At 51.9% G+C, this 23,047-nt stretch overlaps 4 annotated features.

The window, feature by feature from the left end:
* Positions 8,417-9,000: an enhancer, noted in NCBI's record as "H3K27ac-H3K4me1 hESC enhancer chr15:78614637-78615220 (GRCh37/hg19 assembly coordinates)". NCBI's record gives its function as "activates a minimal SCP1, AML or CMV promoter by ChIP-STARR-seq in primed H9 embryonic stem cells {active_cell/tissue: H9 hESC(primed)}" and the evidence as "EXISTENCE:reporter gene assay evidence [ECO:0000049][PMID:30033119]".
* Positions 11,343-11,928: an enhancer, noted in NCBI's record as "H3K4me1 hESC enhancer chr15:78611709-78612294 (GRCh37/hg19 assembly coordinates)". NCBI's record gives its function as "activates a minimal SCP1, AML or CMV promoter by ChIP-STARR-seq in naive H9 embryonic stem cells {active_cell/tissue: H9 hESC(naive)}" and the evidence as "EXISTENCE:reporter gene assay evidence [ECO:0000049][PMID:30033119]".
* Positions 14,519-14,628: a silencer, noted in NCBI's record as "silent region_6710". NCBI's record gives its function as "represses an Ori minimal core promoter by ATAC-STARR-seq in GM12878 lymphoblastoid cells {active_cell/tissue: GM12878}" and the evidence as "EXISTENCE:reporter gene assay evidence [ECO:0000049][PMID:35858748]".
* Positions 15,498-15,547: an enhancer, noted in NCBI's record as "active region_9916". NCBI's record gives its function as "activates an Ori minimal core promoter by ATAC-STARR-seq in GM12878 lymphoblastoid cells {active_cell/tissue: GM12878}" and the evidence as "EXISTENCE:reporter gene assay evidence [ECO:0000049][PMID:35858748]".

Raw genomic sequence — 23,047 nt, 5'->3', positions numbered from 1 at the left:
CTGGGGCCACCATGCCCAGGACAATCTGGGAGTCAGCAAAACAGGACAAAGCATAGCAGGGCTCCTGGGGAAGAATGGCATTTGGGCTGCACACTTGCCCTGCTTGGTAGGTTTCTTTTTTTTTTTTTTTTTTTTTTTTTTTGAGTCAGAGTCTCGGTCTGTCACCCAGGCTGGAGTGCAGTGGCGTGATCTCGGCTCACTGCAAGCTCCGCCTCCTGGGTTCATGCCATTCTCCTGCCTCAGCCTCCCGAGTAGCTGGATCTACAGGTGCCCGCCACCGCGCCTGGCTAATTTTTTGTATTTTTAGTAGAGATGGGGTTTCACCATGTTAGCCAGGATGGTCTCGATCCCCTGACCTCGTGATCCGCCCGCCTTGGCCTCCCAAAGTGCAGGGATTACAGGCGTGAGCCAGGTGGGTTTCTTTTAGGTTAATGGAGTGGAAGGAGCACTGGACTGGGAGTCAGAGGGAGACAGCACCAGGATTGAAGGAGTCCTGTGGATCATGGAGTCTCTTAGTAGAATAAAAACAAATAGCTAGCATTTATCGAGCTTTCACTATGTGCCAGGCACTGTGGCAAGTGCTCCATGAGTATTCATTCATTTATTCCTTACCACTGTCCTGTGAAGTGGGTACTCATTTCTAGATGAGGAGACTGAAGCACAAGGCGTGAGGTACCATGCCAAGCTCACTCAGCTAATGGGAGTCAGAGCTGGGAGGTGGGCCCAGGTAGGCTGGCCCCAGATTTATGCTGTTCGTTTATTGTACAGAAGGGGACCTGGAGGCCCAGAGAAGGGGTGCCTGGGCTTACCAGGGCCTGGGACGTCTGACCACCTGAAGGCTAATGAGAACAACTCTGCTTAAAAGCAGGGCCAGGAGAAAGGCTTGTGGCAGATCTATTGCTCTGTCCACCTGGGCTGTAGTCCTGGATTGCCACTGAGTGGCTGTACAACTTGGAGCAGGTCACAACTACTGTGAACCTCGGTTTCTTCCTGTGTATTAATAAAATGGAAGTGAAAATACCAACCATGCCTGCTTCAAAAGGTAAAATGAATTAATAGATGTGAAAACAAAAGACCAAACAGCTGTTTTTTAGAATCTAGGCTCAACTCAGTCCTGGCCTGCCCACCTACCCTTAAATGGGAACTCTGGCTTCTCCTTTAAGTGACTGTTACACTCATTCATCAAACATTTATTGAGCACTTACTACGTTCCAGGCCCTGTAATCAAATAACTCTATGGGTTTTGTTATTATATCCATTTTATAGACTTAGAAAATGAGGGTCAGAGGTGAACTGACCTACCCAAGGTCACAGAGAAGTAATAGTCAGAGCCAGGATTTGAATCCATGATTGTCTCAGTTGAGAGTCTGAGCCTCCTAGAAGCTGATAAGTGAGGCTGGTTCGAACGTCCACAGTGCCACATCATCACCCTGTGGCAGGCACAACGATGAAGGAGTAATCTGAGATGCTTAAGAGCAGGAAGGAAGGAATGACTATGCCAGGGGCAGTCCAGGAAGGGGTGGCCTTCCACCCAGAGAAGGGGTGGCCCTTGAGCTAAAGCTCAAAGATTTAGAGTTTGCCAGGCAAGTGCTTTAGAGCTAAAGCTCAAAGATTTAGAGTTTGCCAGGCAAGTGCTTCGGACAGAGGAAACAGCAAGAGCATAGACCTGGCAGTGGGAAAGGCAGGGAAGTGCAAGAGATGGAGGGAGCCTGGATCCTAGGGTGCAGTGGGGCAAGCGGGGAGCTGGGAACTGACCTGTAAGGGCAGCAAGGAGGAAGCCAGGGAGACTGCCACACCTGCCAGAGGGTGCTGCAGCCTGTCACAGGGCATTACTGCTGCAAGGCAGGAAAGGTGAGCAGCCCAGGTGCAGACGTTGAGTGCAAAAGAGTTTTGTGAGGTCCACAGTGTTTCTCTAAAACGATACACCCCACCAATGTCAAAAATCAGATTTCGTGTCAATCCAGATTTCTGGCTTCTCTTGAAAAACAAATGATCTGCTAACTTGGGGCTGACCTCCTATATCACAATCTGTTATGAATTGGATGGTTTCCCCCTGCAAATTCACATGTTGGACTCCTAATCCCCAGTACCTCAGACTGGGACCTTATTTGAGATAGGGTCTCTATAGAGGTAATCAAATCAAAATGAGGTCGTCAGGGTAGATAGACTCTAATCCAATATGATTGCTGTCCTTATAAGGGGAAATCTGGTCCCAGAGACACTTGGAAGAAAGATGATGTGAAAAGAGGCAGGGAGAACACGGCCATCTGCAAGCCAAGGAGAGAGGCCTGGAACAAGAGCCTTCCCTCACAGCCCTCAGAAGGAATCAATCCTGCTGACACCTTGACTTTGAACTTCTGGCCTCCAGAACTGTGAGACAATAATTTTCTATTGTTTAAGCCGCCCAGGTTGTGGTGATTTGATAGCAAACCAATATGCAATCCCTGGCAAGCCAGGAGGAAATGCCAATTGAGGGTGCCCTCCTCTAGGCTTCTTCCCTACCCCTCCTCCAAGTTCCCCTTGCCCCTGCCCCATTTACCACCCTTGCCTGTGCCCTGCTTCCCCCTTGGGCCATGGAGGTAGAGCCTCTGCCATTTCACTCTGCCTGTCTGTCCTACTGTGAGGGGCTCTGTGACTAGCCCCAGCATAACCTGGTTCACTCCAGCTGCAGGAGGAACAGAAGAACCCATGTGAGCCTGGTTGGGAGCTGGCAGCTGGCCCTTCATCTTGTTGGGGAGGTTTGAACCTGGGAGTACCAGTCAGTCCTTGGGAGGGAGTAAGCTCTGTGGAGGGTCTGAGCTGGAACAGACTTCCTGATTGTCTGGGCCCTATGGTCTGTGGACCAGCAGCATCAGAATCACCTGGGAGCTTGTTAAAATGCAGAACCCCAGGCCCCAAGCTGACTTGCTGAATCAGAATCTGCATTCTAACAAGGTCCCCAGGTGATTCATACTACATTCAAGTTTGAGATGCACTGGATCTTAAACGTCGCTGCACACTGGAAGCACCTGGGGATTCTAGTGATGCTAATGCCTGGGTACCTTCAGAGACGATGATGTGATTATTCTAGGGTGGAGCTTGGACATCACAGTTCGAAAAGCTTCCCAGGTGATTGTAATGCACAACCACATTTGGGGACTGCTGGTCTACTGTGGGTATTTACACCAACTCCCCTTCCCACCAGAAAACCTTTATAGCAAATAGCAAAACTAGAGCTATGGGTCCAGAAAGAACTGCCCACATCCACCCCCCACCACCCAAATAACTCAGGCTGTCTGGGGAAGGGCCTGTACAGATGACCCTGACCAGTGAAAACCATGGTCAGAGCCCTGTGTGGATGATTAAGAATGCTTCTAGTCCTTAGTAGTATTTAAGTTCTTAAGTGTTCTGTAGGTTCTGGGAGGTACTTGAAATTGTACCCAATGCCCAAAGATGTTAAGTGACTTACCCAAGGTCCCATGGTTCTTCTTGGCAGAGCTGGGACTTGTGAGTGGGTGTTTGAGTCCCACTTTGGAGCACTTTGTTGATCAAAGTCAGTGGTATAGTCTGTCCCTTGGAGCATGTGTCCTCATGTGTCATTAAAAGAGTCATGGCTTGAAAGCCCTGGGCTGACTTTGAGTCCCTATTGTGAAATTCAGGATGTACCCAATTCGGATGAACTTTAGAAAAGGCAGACAGGCTGCAGCTGACTCTGAGACCCAGATGGTTCTAATGAAGGCTGAAGGGAAACTATTCCTTCTTGGGAACCAGGAAGGGACTGGCAGAGGAAACAGAGGTAGGACCCTGCTCCCAGATGTAATAACCCTCCCCCTGTGCTGGGGTCATTAGTCACTGATGATTAGCTGGTGCTTTTAGGGCTCAAATGTTGGACTTGAGGTTGAAGTTGCTTTCTATTTACTTCCATCTTTTTCACTAAGTAGTTGAGAGAGTATAGAGTAAGGGGATGTAAGGGAGAGGATGCCCCTGGAGTCCCGGGGACTAAGGTTTGGGACCAGCTCCACATTAACTAGTTGTGTGACCTTGGACCAGACACTCAACTTCTCTGAGCCTTGGTTCCACATCTATGACTTGGGGGAATTTTTTTTTTTTTTTTTTTTTTTTTTGAGTCAAAGTCTCGGTCTGTTGCCCAGGCTGGAGTGCAGTGGCGCAATCTCAGCTCACTACAAGCTCTGCCTCCCGGGTTCACACCATTCTCCTGCCTCAGCCTCCCGAGTAGCTGGGACTACAGGTGCCCGCCACCATGCCCGGCTAATTTTTTGTATTTTTAGTAGAGACAGGTTTCACCATGTTAGCCAGGATGGTCTCGATCTCCTGACCTCGTAATCTTGCCCGCCTCAGCTCCTAAAGTGCTGGGATTACAGGCATGAGCCACCGCGCCCAGGCAAAAAAAAATTTTTTTGAGACAGGGTCTCACTCTGTTGCCCAGGCTGGAGTGCAGTGGTGCAATCTCAGCTCACTTACAACCCCCATCTCCTGGATTCAAGCGATTCTCCCACCTCAGCCTCCCGAGTAGCTGGGACTCCAGGCGCACACCACCATGCCTGGCTAATTTTTGTATTTTTAGTAGAAACAGGGTTTCACCATGTTGGCCAGGCTGGTCTTGAACCCCTAACGTCAAGTGATCCTCTCGCCTTGGCCTCCCAAAGTGCTGAAATTACAGGTGTTACCCACCATGCCTGGCCTGAATTGGAGGAAATATTAACACCTACTGGCCTACTACAAACCTGGAAGGATAACATGAAATAATGTATGTTGAAGTATACTGTTAAGGGCCATGCCTAGGTTGGACAGATGTTCTTGCTTTGTGTACTGTGGAGGGTGATGCCTATGTTATACCGTCCATGCATGCACACGCAACTGCATACTATCTACCTGAATGCAAATGTGTCCACGTACTCACAGGTCCACAGTTCCTAATTCGAATCCTTTGGGGCCAGATGTGTTTCAGAATTCTGGGTTTGCAGATTTTCTTTTCTTTGTTTTTGTTTTTTGTTTGTTTTGTTTTGTTTTGTTTTTTGAGACAGAGTTTAGCTCTGTCACCCAGGCTGAAGTGCGGTGGCACCATCTAAGCTCACTGCAAATTGCGCCTCTTGGGTTCAAGTGATCCTCCCACCTCAGCCTCCCAAGTAGCTAGGACCATAGGTGCACACCACCATGCCTGGCTAACTTTTGCATTTTTGGCAGAGACAGGGTTTTGCTATGTTGGCCGGGCTGGTCTTGAACTCCTGACCTCAAGTGATTCACCTGCCTAAGCCTCCCAAAGTGCTGGGATTACAGGCATGAGCCACTGCACCCAGCCTGGTTTGCAGATTTTCAAAACTAATGTGATACTCCATAATTAAACACCTTACTATTATCTCAGAAAAACATGTGAATCTTCATGTGAAATTGTATAATAAAGAAATGGCCTCATGTCAGTTCTGCTCTGGTTTTGCCCCCAATAGGAAGAAATGTTTTGTTTTCAGAATGTTCAGAATTTCAGAAAAGGGGTTGTAGACCTATGTCTTAATAGCTCCGGCGCCTTGAGCATAATGTCCTGTGTGCCTGGCATCATGCCTGGTGCTTCCCACATTTTACTCACTCAGCCCCCTCCATGGCCCTGTGAAATGGAAGGTGTTTTCAGCTTCATGGGAGTGAGTTGTTCAGGACATTCCCCTGCAGACATGGCTGTGAATAGTGACATTAACCAGCAGAGTCAAGCTGGAGAATGTGCCCTTGCTAGCAGACATCCCAGCCATGGGACCCCTGCCAGTGTACCCTGTGCCCTTGCCATAGTCTGCTCACTCCCATTCCTCCACTTTAACATCTTGTTTAGATCTTTAACATCTAAACAAGACCATATCCCGTGAGCCCACTGATTCAAAAGGCTGCTTTTACCCTTTCTAAAATTGGTTTGCCTTTTGTTTGTTTTAGTGGTTTGAATTTTGGCGTTTTTTTGCTCTGTGGATGTGTGTGGCAGCCTTTGTGTGTCTGTGTCTGGGCTTGTGTGTGTGTGTGTGTGTGTGAGAGCTTGGGCTCTGGGATGGAATGCAGTGGGTGTGTCTGCCTGCCTTGTGTCTATGCCTCTGTTCTGTGTGTTCCTCGGTGTGTCTCTCCAGGTGTCTAAGGCCTTGGATACATGAAGAGTGTGCCCCCGCCTGGGCTGTGAGTGATGAAGAGGGTTATCCTGGCCTATGATGGTGACCGCATTTGTGCTGATAACATTGTGTGCGCAGACCCCTGGGTGTTGGTGCTATCTGTGTGGCTGTGTGTCTCTGAGTTAGGGTGACCAACTGTCCCAGTTTGCCTGGGACTGAGAAGTGTTCCCAGGACATGGGACTTTTCAGTGGTAAAATGAGAAACTGGGAAAGTTGGTCCCCATCTTCCCAGGGTAGTCACGCTCTGTGGTTCTCTTTGTGTGCACCTCTTCTGTGTGTTCTCGCATATGTCTGCACACTGTGGGTGTGTGTTCTGCATGCATTTCCTCAGAGTGTGTGTCGTGTATCAGCTTTGCACATTGGTCATGTGCCTCTCCTGCGTGTCTCTCTGTAGCCAGCTCCTTGCACATGTGTCCTCTATGTTGTGTCCATGTATGCCTATGTGCATCAGTCTCCATGTGTTTGTCTCTGCATGCTCTGGAATGATCCGAATGTCTCTGTGTATGTCTGTGAATCTCTCTGCCTGTGAGCTTGTATCTAAGGGCACATGTGTTCTCTGGAACAGACACTGGGCCTCTCTGCGTGGCCATGTCTGGTTCGTTCCGCTGTGGTCAAGCTGGCCCTTCCCATGGCTCAGCCGCCCTCTCCTCTCCATCCCAGTGCCCAAGGATGCTTCTTTCTGAATCCAGCCCCTCTCTACCCTCACTCCCAGCCCCAGCCAGAACCATTGCAAAAGAGGAGTTCATTCTCCATGTAGTTAGTGCAATGTGGTTGGAAACTCCCGCCTGCCCCTGCTGCTGTATCTCAGTGCTCTGCCTTGCAGGCACACCTGGCTCCTCCCTACTTCCCAGCTCTTCCCTCTCAGCACTCTCCATCTTCCATACATTCTTTCTCAGTCTGTCTGCCTTTCCCAGTATCCCTTTCTCTCCCCAGCACCCCTCACTTTTCGCTAATTCTTGAAGACTCCCGTCAGCATCACCTGCTCTGGGAAGCCTTCCCCTCTCGCCCCTTGGCAGAGTGAGCATTTCTGCCTCTGCCCTCCTACAGCCCCAGTGGCTTATCTCCACAGTGGGGTTGCGGGGTGGGGGGGGTCATCTCTAGGCCAGGACTCTCCATTTATTGAGCCCCCTCCAGAAGGTGCCAAGCACGGGGCTGCATTGTCATTTAATCTTTACAACCATCCAGTGAGATACTTGTCCTCATGGCTGCTTTTCGGATGAGGGAACTAAAGCTCAGAGAGGTTGAGGCACTGGCCCAAGGCCACACAGCTAGGAGGTAGTGCAGCTGGTTCCAAAGTCCAGACTCCTGGCACCAGGCTACCTCATGACACCCTTTTGTGGGGGTCTGCCTGGTGTGGGGCTCTGCCTGGTGTGGACCTCTGCCTGTCCCCACTGTCCTGTGAGCGTTTTCATGCTGAGAGCAGGTTTGATTTGTCTCCGTGTGCCCAGCCCTCAGCGTGGGCCCGGGTACCTAGCAGGCACTCCATAAAGGTTTACTGAATAAACGCCTGCTCTCGAAAATGACAACCTCAGCTTTCATTAGTGTGATTTATACATGTGCTGGGATCTTCTGGGCTGCAAGGCTGGGGAACGGGTGGCTATAATTTATCAGAAAACGTGGCAATTGTTCCAGCTTCTCTTTCAGTGCAAAAGGAGGAAGTAAATTGATGGCCAACAGCCCTGCAACGGGAAGGGCCTTCGATGGTGGATACCCCGATTCTTGCTAACAGAGCAGGCACATGACTGGGAGGCCCTCCAACCGTCCCCCACGTGGGCTCTCCTATCCACCTGCTGCCTGGAGGTGGCCACAGGGGGGTCAGCTGCCTCTCATCGATCATCCTGCTCAGGATGCCAAATGGTGCCTTTGAAAGTCCATAAAGAAAGAGACACTCATTCATCCCTGATCAATCACCTCTTGCTGCCCTTTGTGCGGCACGTGCAGGACACAGCACAATGCCAGCTCGTCACGGGTGCTCAATCACCATTTCGGGATTAATGGTTTTTCAGATGGGAGTCACGCCCACCTCCTTCCCCCTCATCCCCAGGCCAGGCATCTCCAGGACAATGCTGCAGTGGCTGGAGAAGCCCCCAGCTCCCTGAGGCCCTCCTTAATCGAGATTGACGGATGTGGGGCGTGTGGTCCATAGAAGCCCCGGGCTTCTGCAGGAGCCAGAGACAACTCCTCCTGGGGATGGATGGGCAGGACAGCTGCCTCAGCCTTCCCAGATGTCCAGGGGAACCCATTCTCTCTCCCGATCAATGTGGCAGCTGGGTGAGCCCCAAGAGCCCCACCTGAGGGGCCCCAAGCCTCAGGCCTCCACCAGGCCGGGTTGTCAGGCCAAATGGCCTCAGCTCAGGAAGGCCTTTGAGCTTGAGAGCTGGGGGCAGGGGCTTGCTTCTCCCTCTGCCCCCCAGTGACAAGCTCCGTGCCCCCCTTTTCCTCCTGAGGCTGTCCCAGACTGGGCTGTGAGTGATGAAGAGGGTTATCTTGGCCTATGATGGTGATTGCATTTGTGCTGATAACTTGAAAATTCATCATCATAATAAGGCCTGCCGGGCCGCTGAATGAGACGGATGGCCTCCCCACATTCCGGCAGCACCGAGCTTCCTGCTGAGCTGCGATCATGTCGTCATCTTCATGGCTCCCCGAGGCCTGCAGGATGTGAATATTTAATTAGCGTCCCTTTCCTGCTCTCTGGGGTGTTTGTAAATATGATTCATGGGCTGTATTGTTACCTCAGCTGAGCAGTCCCTGCCCCCCTCTGCGTGACAGCATCTCGGGCAGAGACAGCCGCCTGGCAGCTTAACCCCCCAAGTCCCACCCAGTGTGCACATCCAGGATTGCTGTTGGGCCCGGACACGGATCACTTCCCTTCTACAGCACCCAGGGTGGAGAATCAAACCACGTTTTCACCTTGCGTTTGGACTGCAGGCCCAGCAGTTACCTAACAGGCCTTTGAGGAAGGCCCCCCAAGACAAGAGGCCTGATTCAGGTCAGTTGTTCACAGGGAGCAGGGAATGACCCCAAGGGAAGGCACGACTTCACCCCACCCTCACTTAGATCAAATACACACAAGCAAACCAATCACTGAGCACCTTCCCACCAGCGCAAACCAGGGACCCACCTTGGCTCTGAGGGAAAGGCCTGGGGCCAGGGAGCAGGACCTGGGGTCTTGGTCTGGTCGCTGCTGCCAGCATGCTTCCTGACCTTGAGTAGGTCATCAGGCTTCAATTTTAACATCTACACACAGGCCCGGTAACACCTATTCTTTTAGGCTCACAGGGTGATGGGGGTGCTGGGGAAGCCACAGAGTTCTATGCACATTTAAGAAATGGAGCTACTCAGGAGGCTGAGGTGGGAGGATTGCCTGAGCCTGGGGATGTCAGGGCTGCAGTGAGCTGTGATTGTGCCCCTGCACTACAGCCTGGGCGACAGGATGCCATCTCACAAAACAACAAAAAATAAATAAAGAAAGAAAAAAGAAAAAAGAAATGGAACTCAGAGCTGGGAGGGCTTACATCTCTCATATACAGATGGAGAAACTGAGGCCCCAAGAGGAAAAGGAACTTGCCTAGAAGTACAGTCAGAGCAGGGGCAGACTGTAGGGCTGCTGACTCCCAGCTGGGGGATTTTTCTGCAACAGAGTTTAGAAACAAAACTATTTTATTCTTCCAGCTGTGTTCCTGCATTTGCTTGGTAGTTATTACTATAGGGAATGAAGGCAGGGCACTTCTCCCTAAGACAGAGTGCAGGCCGGGAATGTAGTGGGTTCCCCGCGTGGTGCTGCAGCTGTTGGAGGTCGTGTGGTGGGGAACAAAGGCAGTGGGGCTGTCTGGGCACACCCTCGGTCTCAGGGATCTACCGTGGAGGACTGTCGCAAGCTGCCTCTGCACCTCCCTCAGCGCCCCAGCAGGGCTGATCTTGTGGGGCACCCGCACGACGCACACAAACGGCCCTGAGACCACTGCAGGAGCTGGGCCTTCACTGTCCTCACGGGACCCACACCTCTTCGCCCCATCAGCTGCTGCGGCTCTCCAGGGCCATCTCCACAGTCCTCTCCACCCCTGCTCCCGGTCTTCCGGTCTACAGTCTTTTCTGCCTAAAACCCTTCTGCAGTGGCCCCAGCTTCAGAAATGAGTCCTCTCCCTGGCCTCAAAGGCCTTTGTGATTTGGGTCCCTCCATCCCACTTTGTCTCATTCCCTCCCTCCCACCCCTCATCCCTATTTGCCCCCCGAAACCACAGGCCCTTGTATACTTCTTTTGCTTTGCACTGCCCTCCCCTCTGTCTGCCTGGCAAAAATTCCCTCTCACAATTCAAAACCCAGCTCATGTCCCCAACTCTGGAAACATCCCTGATGCTCCAGACCCTCGCCTCTGCCCCCGCCCCCACCCCCTGACATACCATCCTCGGAGTGCTCAGCCTCAGGATTTCTAAACCTGTCTTCCTCCAGTCTGAGAGCAGCACTGAGTCGGAGACCAAGTCCTGCTCCTCTCTGTGCCCAGGGCCTAGCCCAGGGCATGGCACAGAGTGGGCATCAGTGATGTCAATGAATGAGAGGGTTTTCCAGGCAGGTTCTCTGTATGCACAGTCTCAGGTTCACAAGCTTGTTGTCCACACAGCAGCTGGTCTAGGAGCCATACTCTTCCCTCCCTCCCCAGGCCTTTGTCTGCTCTACTCATCCAGGCCAGGAGCCAGGGACCCTGGCAGATGGAGTGGAAGGAATGGGGAGGAGAAGGGCGCGGTGGTGGCTGGAGGCGCCATGCATGTGGAGCCTGGTCCCCCTCCATGCAGCTTCTCGGAGTCAGGTGGGAGGCCCTGGGATCTGAACAGCTTAGCAGGTTCCTTATCCATCCTCTTCCACTGGGGATGGGGCGGGACCCTTTGTCTGAGGCCTTTGATCAGACTCTGTGTCCTACCTTCCCCCAGGTGGAGAAAAGCAAAAATAAGATCCTGGGAAGCAGCTGGCTTTGCCAGGTGTTGAGGGTAGAGTTCCTGCCTTCACCCAAACAGGAGGCTCTTCTGGTCCCAGGTGACCTCATACCCAGCCCGAGGCCTTTGCCTACCTCCTGTCCCTTCCCCATCTCGAAACGCTGCGATTATTGATTCTGCCTTTGGCCTTTTCCTGATGAAGCCTCTGCTCCTGCCTGGCATGGGGGCCTCAGGGATGCAGAGAGTGGGTCTTCTAAGGGCAGTGGGGGCTCCCCTGCCACAGTCATTTTGGGGGGGCACAAATGAAGAACAGCAGTGGTTGGGCTGCCTGTCGTCAGGGATGGCTGGCCCAGCGGTCATTACAGCCATTCGCCCCCAGCCCATGAAGCGGGTCAGAATCCCTAACTCATTAACGACTGGCCCATCCATCTTGTCTGTCTGCACTGACACAGCCGTCGCCCCTGACAGCAGACACTGCCCTCCTGGAGGCATTACCCTCTGTGTGGGGATGAGGGGTGGGCTTGGCCGATGGGAGAAGGAAGCGTCTGTTTGGGAAATGTCCTTATTGTTTCAACCACTTTGAAGCCACAACGTGTGCATGTGTGAAGGGGAAGTCTGTTGGTGGAATTGTGTGAACAGACCGGGGTTTGATGTGGGCTGCATCACTGCCCTGCCATGTAGCTTTGGGCAAGTCCCTTCCCCTCTCGTGGATCCTCAGCAACCCCCTCTATACAACGGAGAGACCGATCTGTCTCTTGGTCCATTAGAATACAATGGATGGGGACTGCCAGCACTGCCCACTTTCAAGACACCAGGACTCTTAACCTGAAAATGGCCGCCTCCCTGATGCACACACACTGGGCTCACTTTCAAAAGCAGGCCAGTCTAGCCTGACCTGACAGGTTCACGTCCTAGGCTACAAGTCCCCACGTATGATTTGTGAAGGGCCTTTGGAAGCCAAACTAGGCATTGCCAACTTTCTGGACAGGGACAGAAGAGATCAGTCATTAGGGGGCTGTTTCCTATTGCCCAGTTGCCTGTGGTCTGCCTGGATGGGGTTTTGCTTGCTCTTGGGTAGATGTGGCTGTGGACTGTTGAGCTGTTTGTTGAGTTGATCTGTCCTGGACCTCTTCTCCTCTACCCCACAGCAGTGCTCACCACAGGCCTTCTAATGGTCAAATCCACTCCCAAGTAGCAAGTCATGTGGATGCAGAGGAGTTTCTCAGCTCAGTGTCTGGAGAGAGAGTCACAGGTTCCTAGGCTGGACTGGACCTGGGCACCTAGGGGAGACACTCCCCATTATGCATGCACTCTGCCTGCACCCCCAGGGATCCCCCAGGCAGCCCAAGCCACTGAAGGCCGGGGTCTCAGTCTGTGAGGAAGCCCCTCCTCAACTGCCTTCTCCTGCTCAACTCTGCCTTTCGGGGGCCTCTGGCCTGGACCCAGGGTTCCAATACAGAAATGAGAGAGAAACTATGAATGGCCCATGCCTCCCCCTCCCCAAGGTTCCTGCCTCTGGGGCCTCCAGCCTTTCCTGATGGGACACATTTGAGTCCCATCCTCATGCTAGTCTCCCTTCGGGGAATGTTCATGTTAACCAATATCCCTCTTTTTAAAGACATGCATATATTTTAAAAATTAAAATATTGTATAGAAAAATGGAACAAAGAAATCCACTGTTTGCAGCTTTGCATTTCCTTTCAATTTCCTCCTCCACATCTGTTAAGGGGTGATCACACAGCATACAATTATAAACCGTGTTATTTTGTCTTGGTTTTATAGCCCAAGCCATTTCCAGTCTGATATCTGATATTCATTTTTTTAATGTTTGAAAATAATGCAATGGAATGAGTCAATATCATCAAGTTTTCCATTCACCCCCAAAATACTCTATAAAATTCAAGGCCAAGCAACATGCTAACAAGATTTTTCATATTTGACAGATTGGCTCTAAAATTTATATGAATGAATAAATATACAAGGATAACCAAGAGAGTTATGAAAAGGAAGAATAAAGAGGAGGAAATTTTTCCACCAGATATAAAAATTATCCTAAAGCTTTAGTGTTTTAAAACCATGGAAATTGGCACAAGAGTAAAAAAACAGATTGATAGAATAGAATTAAGAGTCCAGGGACATATCACCTGTGCATATATAGAAATGCAGGACATAAAAAAGGGGCACTTCAAATGTAAATCCTTGTGTATAATATTCAAACGTTCCAGAATTAATTAAATACCTAAGTCTCCTCCTCCCCTTTCCAGCCAGCTTCAGGTCTTCGGTGTGAACAATCCCATCACATGGATGTACACTAATTTACTCAACACAGTCCCTTTCTATTGGACATTTAGGATTTGCCCACTTTTTTTTTTTAACAATATGAGGGGCACTGCAATGAGCATCTGTGTCTCTGAAGCAGTTTTTCTTTGTTTTTGGATTCTTTCCTTAAAGAGCTGTTCTAGGAGTGGAATTGCTGAAGCACAGGGTAGGGTATGCCCACATTGCTTTCCCAAAGAGCTACTGTGGGGTCAGGGAGAAGAGGTCCAGGGTGCATAGTTATTTCATTTCATTCATTCATTCATTTCATTCATTCATTCATTCATTCATTTCATTCATTCATTCATTCATTCATTTCATTCATTCATTTCATTCATTCATTCATTCACTGAGCTCCCGTGCTGGGCTGGGTGTCAGGACTGGGGATCCAGGTCAGGCCCAGAACATATGATTCACCGAAGGAGAGGCATGGAAACAGGGATCTTCAAAATCAGGAGAGTGAAGTCACCTGGCATGGCAGTGCTCGGAGCAGCACGCTGTGAGTGTCCAGAAGAGGGCTCCCCAGGGTGCTGACATTTAGACTGGGCTGCCTTCTGGAGATGGGTGTGAGAAGAAGCAGAGGCAGATCACAGAGGGCCTCAGATGCCAGGCTGAGAAGTTGGGACTGTGCCCTGTGGCCATGGGGAGCCACAAAAGGTTGATGAGCTGCGGAGTGATGTGTTCACCTGCGTTGTAGGAGGCTCACGGGGGCAACCTCGGCACAGCTCCTGCCATTGCTGGCCCTGCACTTCACAGCTCTGTTGTGCTGCCAGCCCTGCCTGACCCTCTGAAGCAACAAAGCCTCCTATACCCAGAGGCCTCCCGGTTATCCTTGTATATTTATTCATCCATATAAACTTTAGAGCCAATCTGTCAACCCCTAAAAGTCCAGGAATGAGCAAAAGTCCCGTTTCGCCCTTCTCTTGCCCTCAGGAAACTGTACCTTGTCTCAGAGTCATTGAGGGTGTGTTTAGTTGGATCTGCACCAAATAGGGCGGTGGTGGCTATGGAATTTTATCACATCGGTTCTTGTCCTGCCCCCGCTGCTGATTCCTGAAACGACCTTAGGTGAGTGAGTCCTTGCTTTTTCAGGCCTGAGGTTCCCCACGGTAGAGTGAGGAGTTTGAATCAGCTCATCTGAGAGCGCTGCCAGCCTGTATTTACACAATGCAAATGGAGCCCCAGCCCCTAAGACCAAGCATCAGCTTTTATAGGGGAAACACCGGGCTCCGTCAAGCAGAAACCCCGCCTGACTCCCGGGGCTTTCTGGGACTCCTTCCTGACCGCCTGCCTCCTCTCAGCTGTCTCTGGTTAAGCCTGTTAGATCTGGTTCTGTCTGAAGAGATGCGCACAGGCTGCTTTCCACCCAACACCCATCCCAAGGCCTGTTCCAGGCCCCTTTTGTCCCCCAGGCAGCAGAGGCCTAGCGACAGGCCTCATTCATCTTCCCACTGAGTCCAGAGACAAAGGGCTTAATGTGTGTGCAGATGGGCCTGCCCCTCCATCATCCCTCACAACCAGTGTCCGATAATGTGCCTCCAATGAGTCTCCCGTGGCCACCCTCTGACCAGGGGGTGGCTGGGCAATGACACATGCAAACACAGGGACTGGATGACAAAGCAAGCCTTGAGGGGGCATGGCGGGGGGCAGGGCATGATCACAGCCCCACGGAGAATCCCATAAGTCATTTCTGATGGGGATACATTAGGCCTCTCAAAGAGCACTTGCCCCTGAACACTGAGCTGCCAAATTAATTGACAAGGGACCTTTACAGGCAGCTCCTAGAGAGCAGGAACCCCTGTCCCCAGAGGCCCGGCCCAAGAAGCTGTCGTTTTCTGAGAGGAAAGAATTGTGCCCTGTCTGGCCAGAGCTCAGTACCCTTCTGGGCTGAGTGAGACCCTGGCCACTGCAGAGGGTCGCATGTATGTGTGATCAAGGAAATTGGGTCCCAGAGAGAGCAGTGATGTGCTGTAAGCACACAGCACATAGGTGGTGGAGGTAAGGCTGGAACCTAGGTCTCCTGACTACTCTGCCAAGCCCTTTCCCTCCCTCTTGTGGCCAAGCCCCTGAGTGCTGCAGAGGGCTCTGACTGCCTAGTCGTAGGTCCTCCCCACCCTCGTGGCAGGGCTTCTAGGGGTCAGGGGGAGAGTCCTCAGCCCCTGTTCTCCCACAGAGCCTGAGCCTGGCCCTGGTGAAAACACTGATGACCCCCCTCCTTTTTTATTTTTTTAGAAACAGGATCTTGCCTTGTCACCCAGGCTGGAGAGCAGTGGCAAAATCATGGCTCACAGCAGCCTCAAACTCCTGCCTCAGCCTCCCAAATAGCTGGGACCACAGGTGCATACCACCATGCCTGGCTAATTTTCTTATTTTTTATAGAGACAGGGTCTTGCTATGTTGCCCAGGCTGGTGTTGAACTCCTGACCTCAAGCAATCCTTCTGCCTCAGTCTCCCAAAGTTCTGGGATTACAGACATGAGCCACTGAGCCAGCCTAAAGCCCCCTTTAAAATGCAGACACAGAGCAGGAAGAGTGGCAGAAAGGATGGAAGGAGTGCCAGCAGCCAGGAAGCCATAGCTGGCCACTCACGGAAAGCCAGAGCACAGTACTAGAGACACAGAAGGCTGTGGATGGGAGTGGGCATCTGGGGACTAGGCTCACATCCCCACTCTGCCCTGGCCCTCTTGGGGATCTTAGGTCAGCCATGTCCTTCCCTGAGACCTTACCTTTCAGCAGAATGAAAGACTCAAAACAGGAAGCAATGATCCTATCACTATTCGCTCCCGTTTATCAAGCACTCTCTGTAAGCCAAGCACTGCGCTAAGTGCTGCTGAGTCCTTGTCTTATTAATCTTCGTAACAGACCCAAGAAGAAATTGTCTTCATTTTACAGGTGAGGCTGGGCACGTGGCTCACACCTGTAACCCTAGCACTTTGGAAAGTCAAGGTGGGAGGATCGCTTTAGGCCAGAAGTCCAAGACCAGCCTGGGCAACACAGTGAGACCCTGTCTCTACAAAATAAATAAAAACTAAAATTTTTAAAAATACAGATAAGAAAACAGAGTTTCAATAGCTAAAGTTACTTTTCTTACAAGTGGCTGAGCCCAGGTTAGAACCCAACCTCGGGGCATGCTCCTGGCTTAGGGACAAGGATAAGAGGGGACCAGAGAACAGACAGAGAATTCCAGAGGCCCAGGTTCAGCCAGGAAGCGCAGGTCAAAGTGGGTCCCGAGTGGGGAGGCCCATTAGCCACCAGGCCCCTTGGCCCCTGGAGAGAGGCACAGCGCAGAGGGAAACAGCCCACCTCCCCGCAGGTCTTGCTGAAGACCCTCCATTCCCCTTCTGAATCTCTACCTCCAGCCCCTCCCACAACTGGGTCCCTTTGGCTCCTCCTGTAGGAGTAGCCTCACCCAGGTGGCCTTAATCTGGTGGTCATGGAAATTTCAACAGCCCTGGGCCCGGAGCCCAGCCTGCTCTGCCCTGCTCCCCAGAGCCCCTTTCTAGTTACATGTCCTGGAGCTAGGTCATGGGGCTGGGTCACCTCCCTTCAGCATCTAGAGACCCCGCTAGTCTGTCACCCGAGTGCATCTAATCCTGAGGCTCCCCCTCCTTCCTCTCAGAGTGGCTTTGTCCATCTCCACTCCAGGACCCGACAGGAGGAGCATAGAAAGAGCCCGTGAAGAACCCCGGACTGAGATGGCTGAGGGCTGGGGCCTCGGAGAAGGATTCCCAGGGCATTGGATGGCCACCTGGATTTGGAGATTCACAAAGGAGGGACATTGTTTGATGGGAGAGGAGGCAGATCATAAGGAGTGTGAGCATTGAGGCCAGAGAGGAGGGCCTCACGCCAGCCCACAGCCCTGAAAAGCCCATAGGATGCTGCCTGGATCTTAGAGTTGTGCACAGCAGAAGCCCCCAAGATCTGGTTGCTGAGAGTGGGGAGGTACAGGGCGGAGATCCTGTTGTGGGTTGGGTAGATATCGGAGGGTGAAGGAGTCCAGCATTGGAGCTGTCCTGGTTCGAAGATTCCTTCAGTCTTCTGCAGTCCTCCCGACCACAGCTCAGCAACAGGAGCAGGCTGGTGTTGAGGGGCGGCTGGGGCACCACACTGTGCTGCTGGGGCCCACTCTGCCTGCCCTGCATTTGGCTGTCCAGCTGTGGCTTGTACATCCCCTGGGACTGGAGGCTTATACCTCCAAGGCAGCCCCTACTCCTGTGGCATGGTTCAACCTGTGAGAAAGACCCTTCTTCCTATGAGTCCAGGTGCTTCTCTGTGGCCTGTCCCTAGAGCCTGGCCCCGTTCGAGGTCAGAGACTATATGCATTCCCTCGGACCAGCATAGCCTGACTGAGGTCTGCCCAGCAGGCCCAGCACCCACCCCGCCTCTGCCTCCCCGGTCTCTGCAGGCCAAGGATGCTGCTATTTTTTAGCCATTCCGTGGAGTATGACCTCCTCATCCCCCCGAAACACTGCCTCTCCTCTAGGACCTCAGCTCGGCAGGATCCCTGTCCTCCTGACTGAGTGCTCAGAGCGGATATTCTGCAGTCTAGGGGCCTCTATTACTTGGTTTCCCGTTCCCCACTGATTTGGCAGGAGCCTGGAATTGAAGTCCGTGGAGGATCTGGGTCAGTTTCTTTACATCTAGAGCTTTGCTCAGAGAATAACTCAGTTCTTCAGGCACAAGACACCCCCAATAGCAGTTACCCCCTACACCAATGTGATGAGTTCCCACAGACACCCCAGCCCACCCAGCACAGGCCCCTCACTGACCTCCCAGCCTCCAACAGGTCCCCTGGTTCCTGGCCTTCTCCCGACGGCTGCAAAAGGCTCTTTGGAGTGTCCCTATTCCACACCCCTTCTCACCCCTCAAGAAATCATCTCTGAAGGCAAGGGAATGAGAACTTTATTTGCACACCAAAAAAAAAAAATTGGCCGAATTTATCAAAACAGTGGATTATTTGCAATCATGGGTGCTTGGAAACTGTCTTAGCCTGGATTCCCCCTAAAGCAGAGCCTGAGACAAAGACCCCAAGCAGGGAGCTGTCTTAGGAATTCAATCCCAGAGAGCAGGAGTGAGGGGCAGGGGCGGAACAAAGGAAGAAGCAAAAGCCAGATCAAGGATGCACTGCTGAGTTGGCCACCAGCGCTGAAGGGCCTGTGTCAAGCATCTCAGAACTGTCCCTCAGGGGCCAAAGGGGGAAATATTTACTCATCAGCTTCAATCTCCCATTGGTCAAGGCTGTCCCACAGGCAACAATTCTTCTGGGTGAATGTGGAGTGATTCCCAGGGCAGGAAGATAGAGGTGGAGACTGGGGGAGGGGAGGTGCTGTCAGCTCACGCTTGGGCAGAGCTGGTTGAAACTTGTGCAGAACGGACCCCAGGGTAGTGGCTGTACTAAGAGAGAAGAGGCTGAGAAGATGTGACGTGATGCACATAAGCTGTCCTATGCAGTAGTCAGCTTCATCGCGTGTGACACAGGCAGCTCACAGCTAATGTGACAAGTCAGTGGGAAGGACACCATGGTCAAGAACAGCTGAAGTGGATCAGAAGGTCAAAACTGGAAGGAGGCTGGGCGTGGTGTCTCACGCCTGTAATCCCAGCACTTTGGGAGGCCGAGGCGGGAGGCTCACTTGAGGTCAGGTGTTTGAGACAAGCCCGGGCAACACAGGGAGACCCTATCTCTACAAAAATAAAAATAAAATAAATTAGCCAGGCATGGTGGTGCACACCTGTAGTCTCAGCTACTCAGGAGGCTGAGGTGGGAGGGTCGCTTGAGCCCTGGAGTTTGAGCTGCAGTGACAGTGATCACGCCACTGCACTCCAGCCTGGGTGACAGAGCAAGACTCTGTCTCAAAACAAAAACTGAAGGAGTCCCAGAGCCAATGGACTCACGGGACAGACAGCTAGGGAAACTGAGGTCCAGAGAGGGTTCAGGCAGAGGCAGGCTAGAGAGTCTCCCTTTCAGAGCCAGAGATGGTTCCTGAGGCCATCTGGGTGACTTGCCAGCTTCATGCCTGGCACACACTTAATGATCAAAACTAGGAATGATATCAACAGTGACAATAACAGTAATGGCTCCTGATGTGAGGTTCCGTGTTCTGGCTGCTAAGCCCCTCGGCCTCCAGGGGCACTTTGGGCGTAACTGCACAGCAAGGTCTCCACATGCTTTCATTCTTCTGCTATTAATTTTAGTGCAATGGCAGTCAAGGAGTAAAAGCAGTGCTTTCACCTGGATATGCCAGCTCTGGCACCAGGATGCACTGGAGACTCACATCTAATGGGGGGCCTGGACCTCAGCTCTCTCTCTGAGTTAAGGGCAGTGTGTGGAAGGAGCTTTGTGGTGAGGCTGTTCTAAAGCTACCTTTGGCTTCTTGAATTCCCTTTGTCCTTCAGAAGTGCATTCGATACAGGAGTCCTGGGACTTTCCCAAGCTTACCAGCTTGGGGCCAGCACCTGTTCACCCTGGCAAGAGATCCTGGGCTTAACCTGTGGCAGGAAGGGATTTCCAGGTTCTTTTGGAAACCTCACGGCGGTGAGTTCTCTTCCTAGAGCTCCTTTTGCCCCCTTGCCTCCCAAGTGCAGGCCCCTCTGGGTCAGCACTTCCCTGCAGTCCTGCCTTTCCCACCTGGCTCTCAATCCTTTGACCTCCCCCCAACCCCACCACCAACTTTGTAAATAAAAATCCCTATATTTTCAGCTCTTTCACGGTCCCTTATTCCAACCTTGCTGTCACCACAGCTGGCTCTCTGTAGAGGACAGCGGTTCCTGGCAGCCTCTGGAGGGGACACTGCAGGTGTGCACACCTGGATTGAGACTGACACCCCCAGCAACATAACAGAACCACTCAAGGGGATGCTGGAGCTGGTACATACCAGCTTACCAGAGCAGATTGTACATATTGGTCAGCAACTTCCTGTCCGTGGCGTGAAATAGCCCATGGGGCATGGTGGCAGGTGCCTGTAATCCCAGCTACTCGGGAGGCAGGAGAATCACTTGAACCCAGGAGGCAGAGGTTGCAGTGAGTCAAGATAGCTCCACTGCACTCCAGCCTGGGCCTGGGCAACAGAGTGAGACTCCATTTCAAAAATAAAAGAAATAGCCCATGGGAGCTGTATTTACACTATGGAAATCAGCAAATGCTATAAGCCAGGTTTAGGGTTTTTCTCTGAAGAGCCTGTTGTTAAACACCTACCAGCACACCATGAACCCCTGATTCTCCTCCTTCTGCCCCTTTGAGACTCTCACCATCCAGGCAGACCCCTGGCTATGTTTGAATGTGTCCCCCAAAGTTCGTGTGTTGGAAACTTAATCCCCAAAGTGACAGTGTTAGAGGTGGAACTTTTAAGAGCTGATTAGGCCGTGAGGATGCCACCCTCATGAATGGATTCATGCTGTTATAGTGGGAGTGGGTTCCTTATAAAAGGACAAGTTCAGCCCCTCTTGCACTCTCTCTCTCTCTCTCTGTCTCTGTCTCTCCTCGCCTTCCCCCATCACCCTGTCTCTCCCTCTCCCTTCCTTGCCCTTCTGCCTTCTGCCATGGAATGACACAGTAAGAAGGGCCTTATAAGACACCAGTAACTTGATCTTGGACTTCCCAGCCTTCAGAACTGTGAGAAAAGAAATTTCTTTTCTTTCTAAATTACCCAGTCTTGGCCAGGCACGGTGGCTCAGGCCTGTAATCCCAGCACTTTGGGAAGCCAAGGTGGGCGGATCATCTGAGGTCAGGAGTTCAAGACCAGCCTGGCCAACATGGTGAAACCCCATCTCTACTAAAAATACAAAAATTAGCTGGGTATGATGGCCCACACCTGTAATTCCAGCTACTGGGGAAGCTGAGGCAGGAGAATCGCTTGAACCCGGGAGGCGGAGGTTGCGGTGAGCTGAGATCATACCACTGCACTCCAGCCTAGGAGAGAGAATAATAATAAATAATGATAATAATAAATTACCCAGTCTCAGGTATTCTGTTATAGCAGCACAAAACAGACTAAGACCCCACCTCCTTTTCCTTCGTCATCATGCTCACCTACCAATCTCTTCTATCTCATTCATTGCAGACAGTGGCACTAGCTCACAGCTTCCATACCCAATTCCTGCCACCCTTCAGAGGCTTACAGCCTCCTCCTGGCAGGCCCACCACCCTGGCCTCCTTGGCTCACCCTCCTACACTCTCAAGTGCCTTGGCAGCCATCTTTTTTGGCCTGACTTTGCTGCCTCCTATGTGAATAGGTAAATGCCAACGATGTCCAGAAAGTGATGGCATGATCCCCAACTACAGCAGAATTTCATACACAGCTGGGCTTCACGGTCCCTGTCCCCTCTCCACACATAGGACCTGATTCCCTTCGGTTGCACTTTGGGTCCCCGAGAGGTATGACTCAGTCCCCCAGTGTGGGGTGAGTCTACTCCTGGTTCCTGCCCAGTTTTGAAGGATGTGGGCACAGCGGAGGGACTCAGGCCCTGGATTGGCCCATCCGGTCTCTGGGCCATGCCCACAGCCTGCTCAGAGCAGAGAGTCAGGCTGCATGAGGACTCAAGGGGTCTGAGTTCTGCTCCCTACTCCACCACAGCTTTACCAGGTGCTCTGGATTAACCACGTGCTCTCCCTGTGCCAACTTTTCTATAAAATGGGGATACATAATTCCTACACCTCTTATGTAGGGAGAATCAGAGGAGCTAGGGCTTTTCCGCTGGAAAGTCGATCTTGGTTGAAGATGGCTTAGAGTCCTGGTGAGAAAGAGTCATTGTGAGCTCCTTGAGGGCAGGGATTTCATCTAACTCCTTTGAGTATCCCCAGCCTGGCCCCAAAAAGGTCCAGTTGGTGGATCCTGGCAGAATAGCCAAGTACTGAAGGTGACCACCAACCGCTGGTCAGCAGCTGGTGAAGCGAATTGAAACCCCACCCTGAACAGTTGCTGGGTGCAAAGAACTTAGTCCCCCAGGCCATGCTCGCAGGATGCAGCCCCTCAGTCAGGTATGTGCAGAGGATGGGAGGCCTCAGCTGCTTCTGGGCAGGATGCTCTCTCCCTGGCTTCTTCCTTCTGCTGTAACTCCCTTGGGGATCTCACTTCCAGAATCTACAACTGTGGTCTGGGAACCACACTTTTGAAAACCACTAGGGATTGAGACCATGGTGTTAACAATTTTGTTTTCAAGATGAGGAAGTTGAGGTCTAAGATGCCTTTACGAGGGGTCCCATAATGATTCAAGAGCAGGAATTCACTGCCTCCGGAGTCTGGAGGAGCCCAGGAGGGCAGGTACTTGCTACTCCATCAGCGGCGCCAGCCAAGTGGGCATGCGTAGGCAGTGACTGCCATCCTCTGGCCAGCCGTGGTAAAGCCCCTGGCTAGTGGCTCCACTGTGGTGGTCTGTGTTCCCGACTGGGGACTGTCAAGGACCCTGATTGCAGGGTAGGAAGCCAGTTCCAAGAGGTTCCCTGATTCAGTATCCATGGACCAGCTGAAGAAAGGAGTGATGTGTCCTTGTGGGTTTGGATTTGAATCCAGACTCCCGCCTCTGGCCCCATAATTGTCCTGCCCTCACCCTCTCCATACCCCTTTCTTTCCTGTGAGCTCCTGTTTCCCCGCTTTCCCTCCCTAATACTGTGGAATTATGAACAAAAAAATCAGCTACACCCAATTCAGCATGGGTTTCCATCCTTACT

The sequence above is a fragment of the Homo sapiens genome, chromosome 15, assembly GCF_000001405.40.
Source record: "Homo sapiens chromosome 15, GRCh38.p14 Primary Assembly".
NCBI classification, from domain to species: Eukaryota; Metazoa; Chordata; class Mammalia; order Primates; family Hominidae; genus Homo; species Homo sapiens.
Note: the sequence above shows the minus strand (reverse complement) of the source record. Positions and strands in the feature narration are given on the sequence as shown.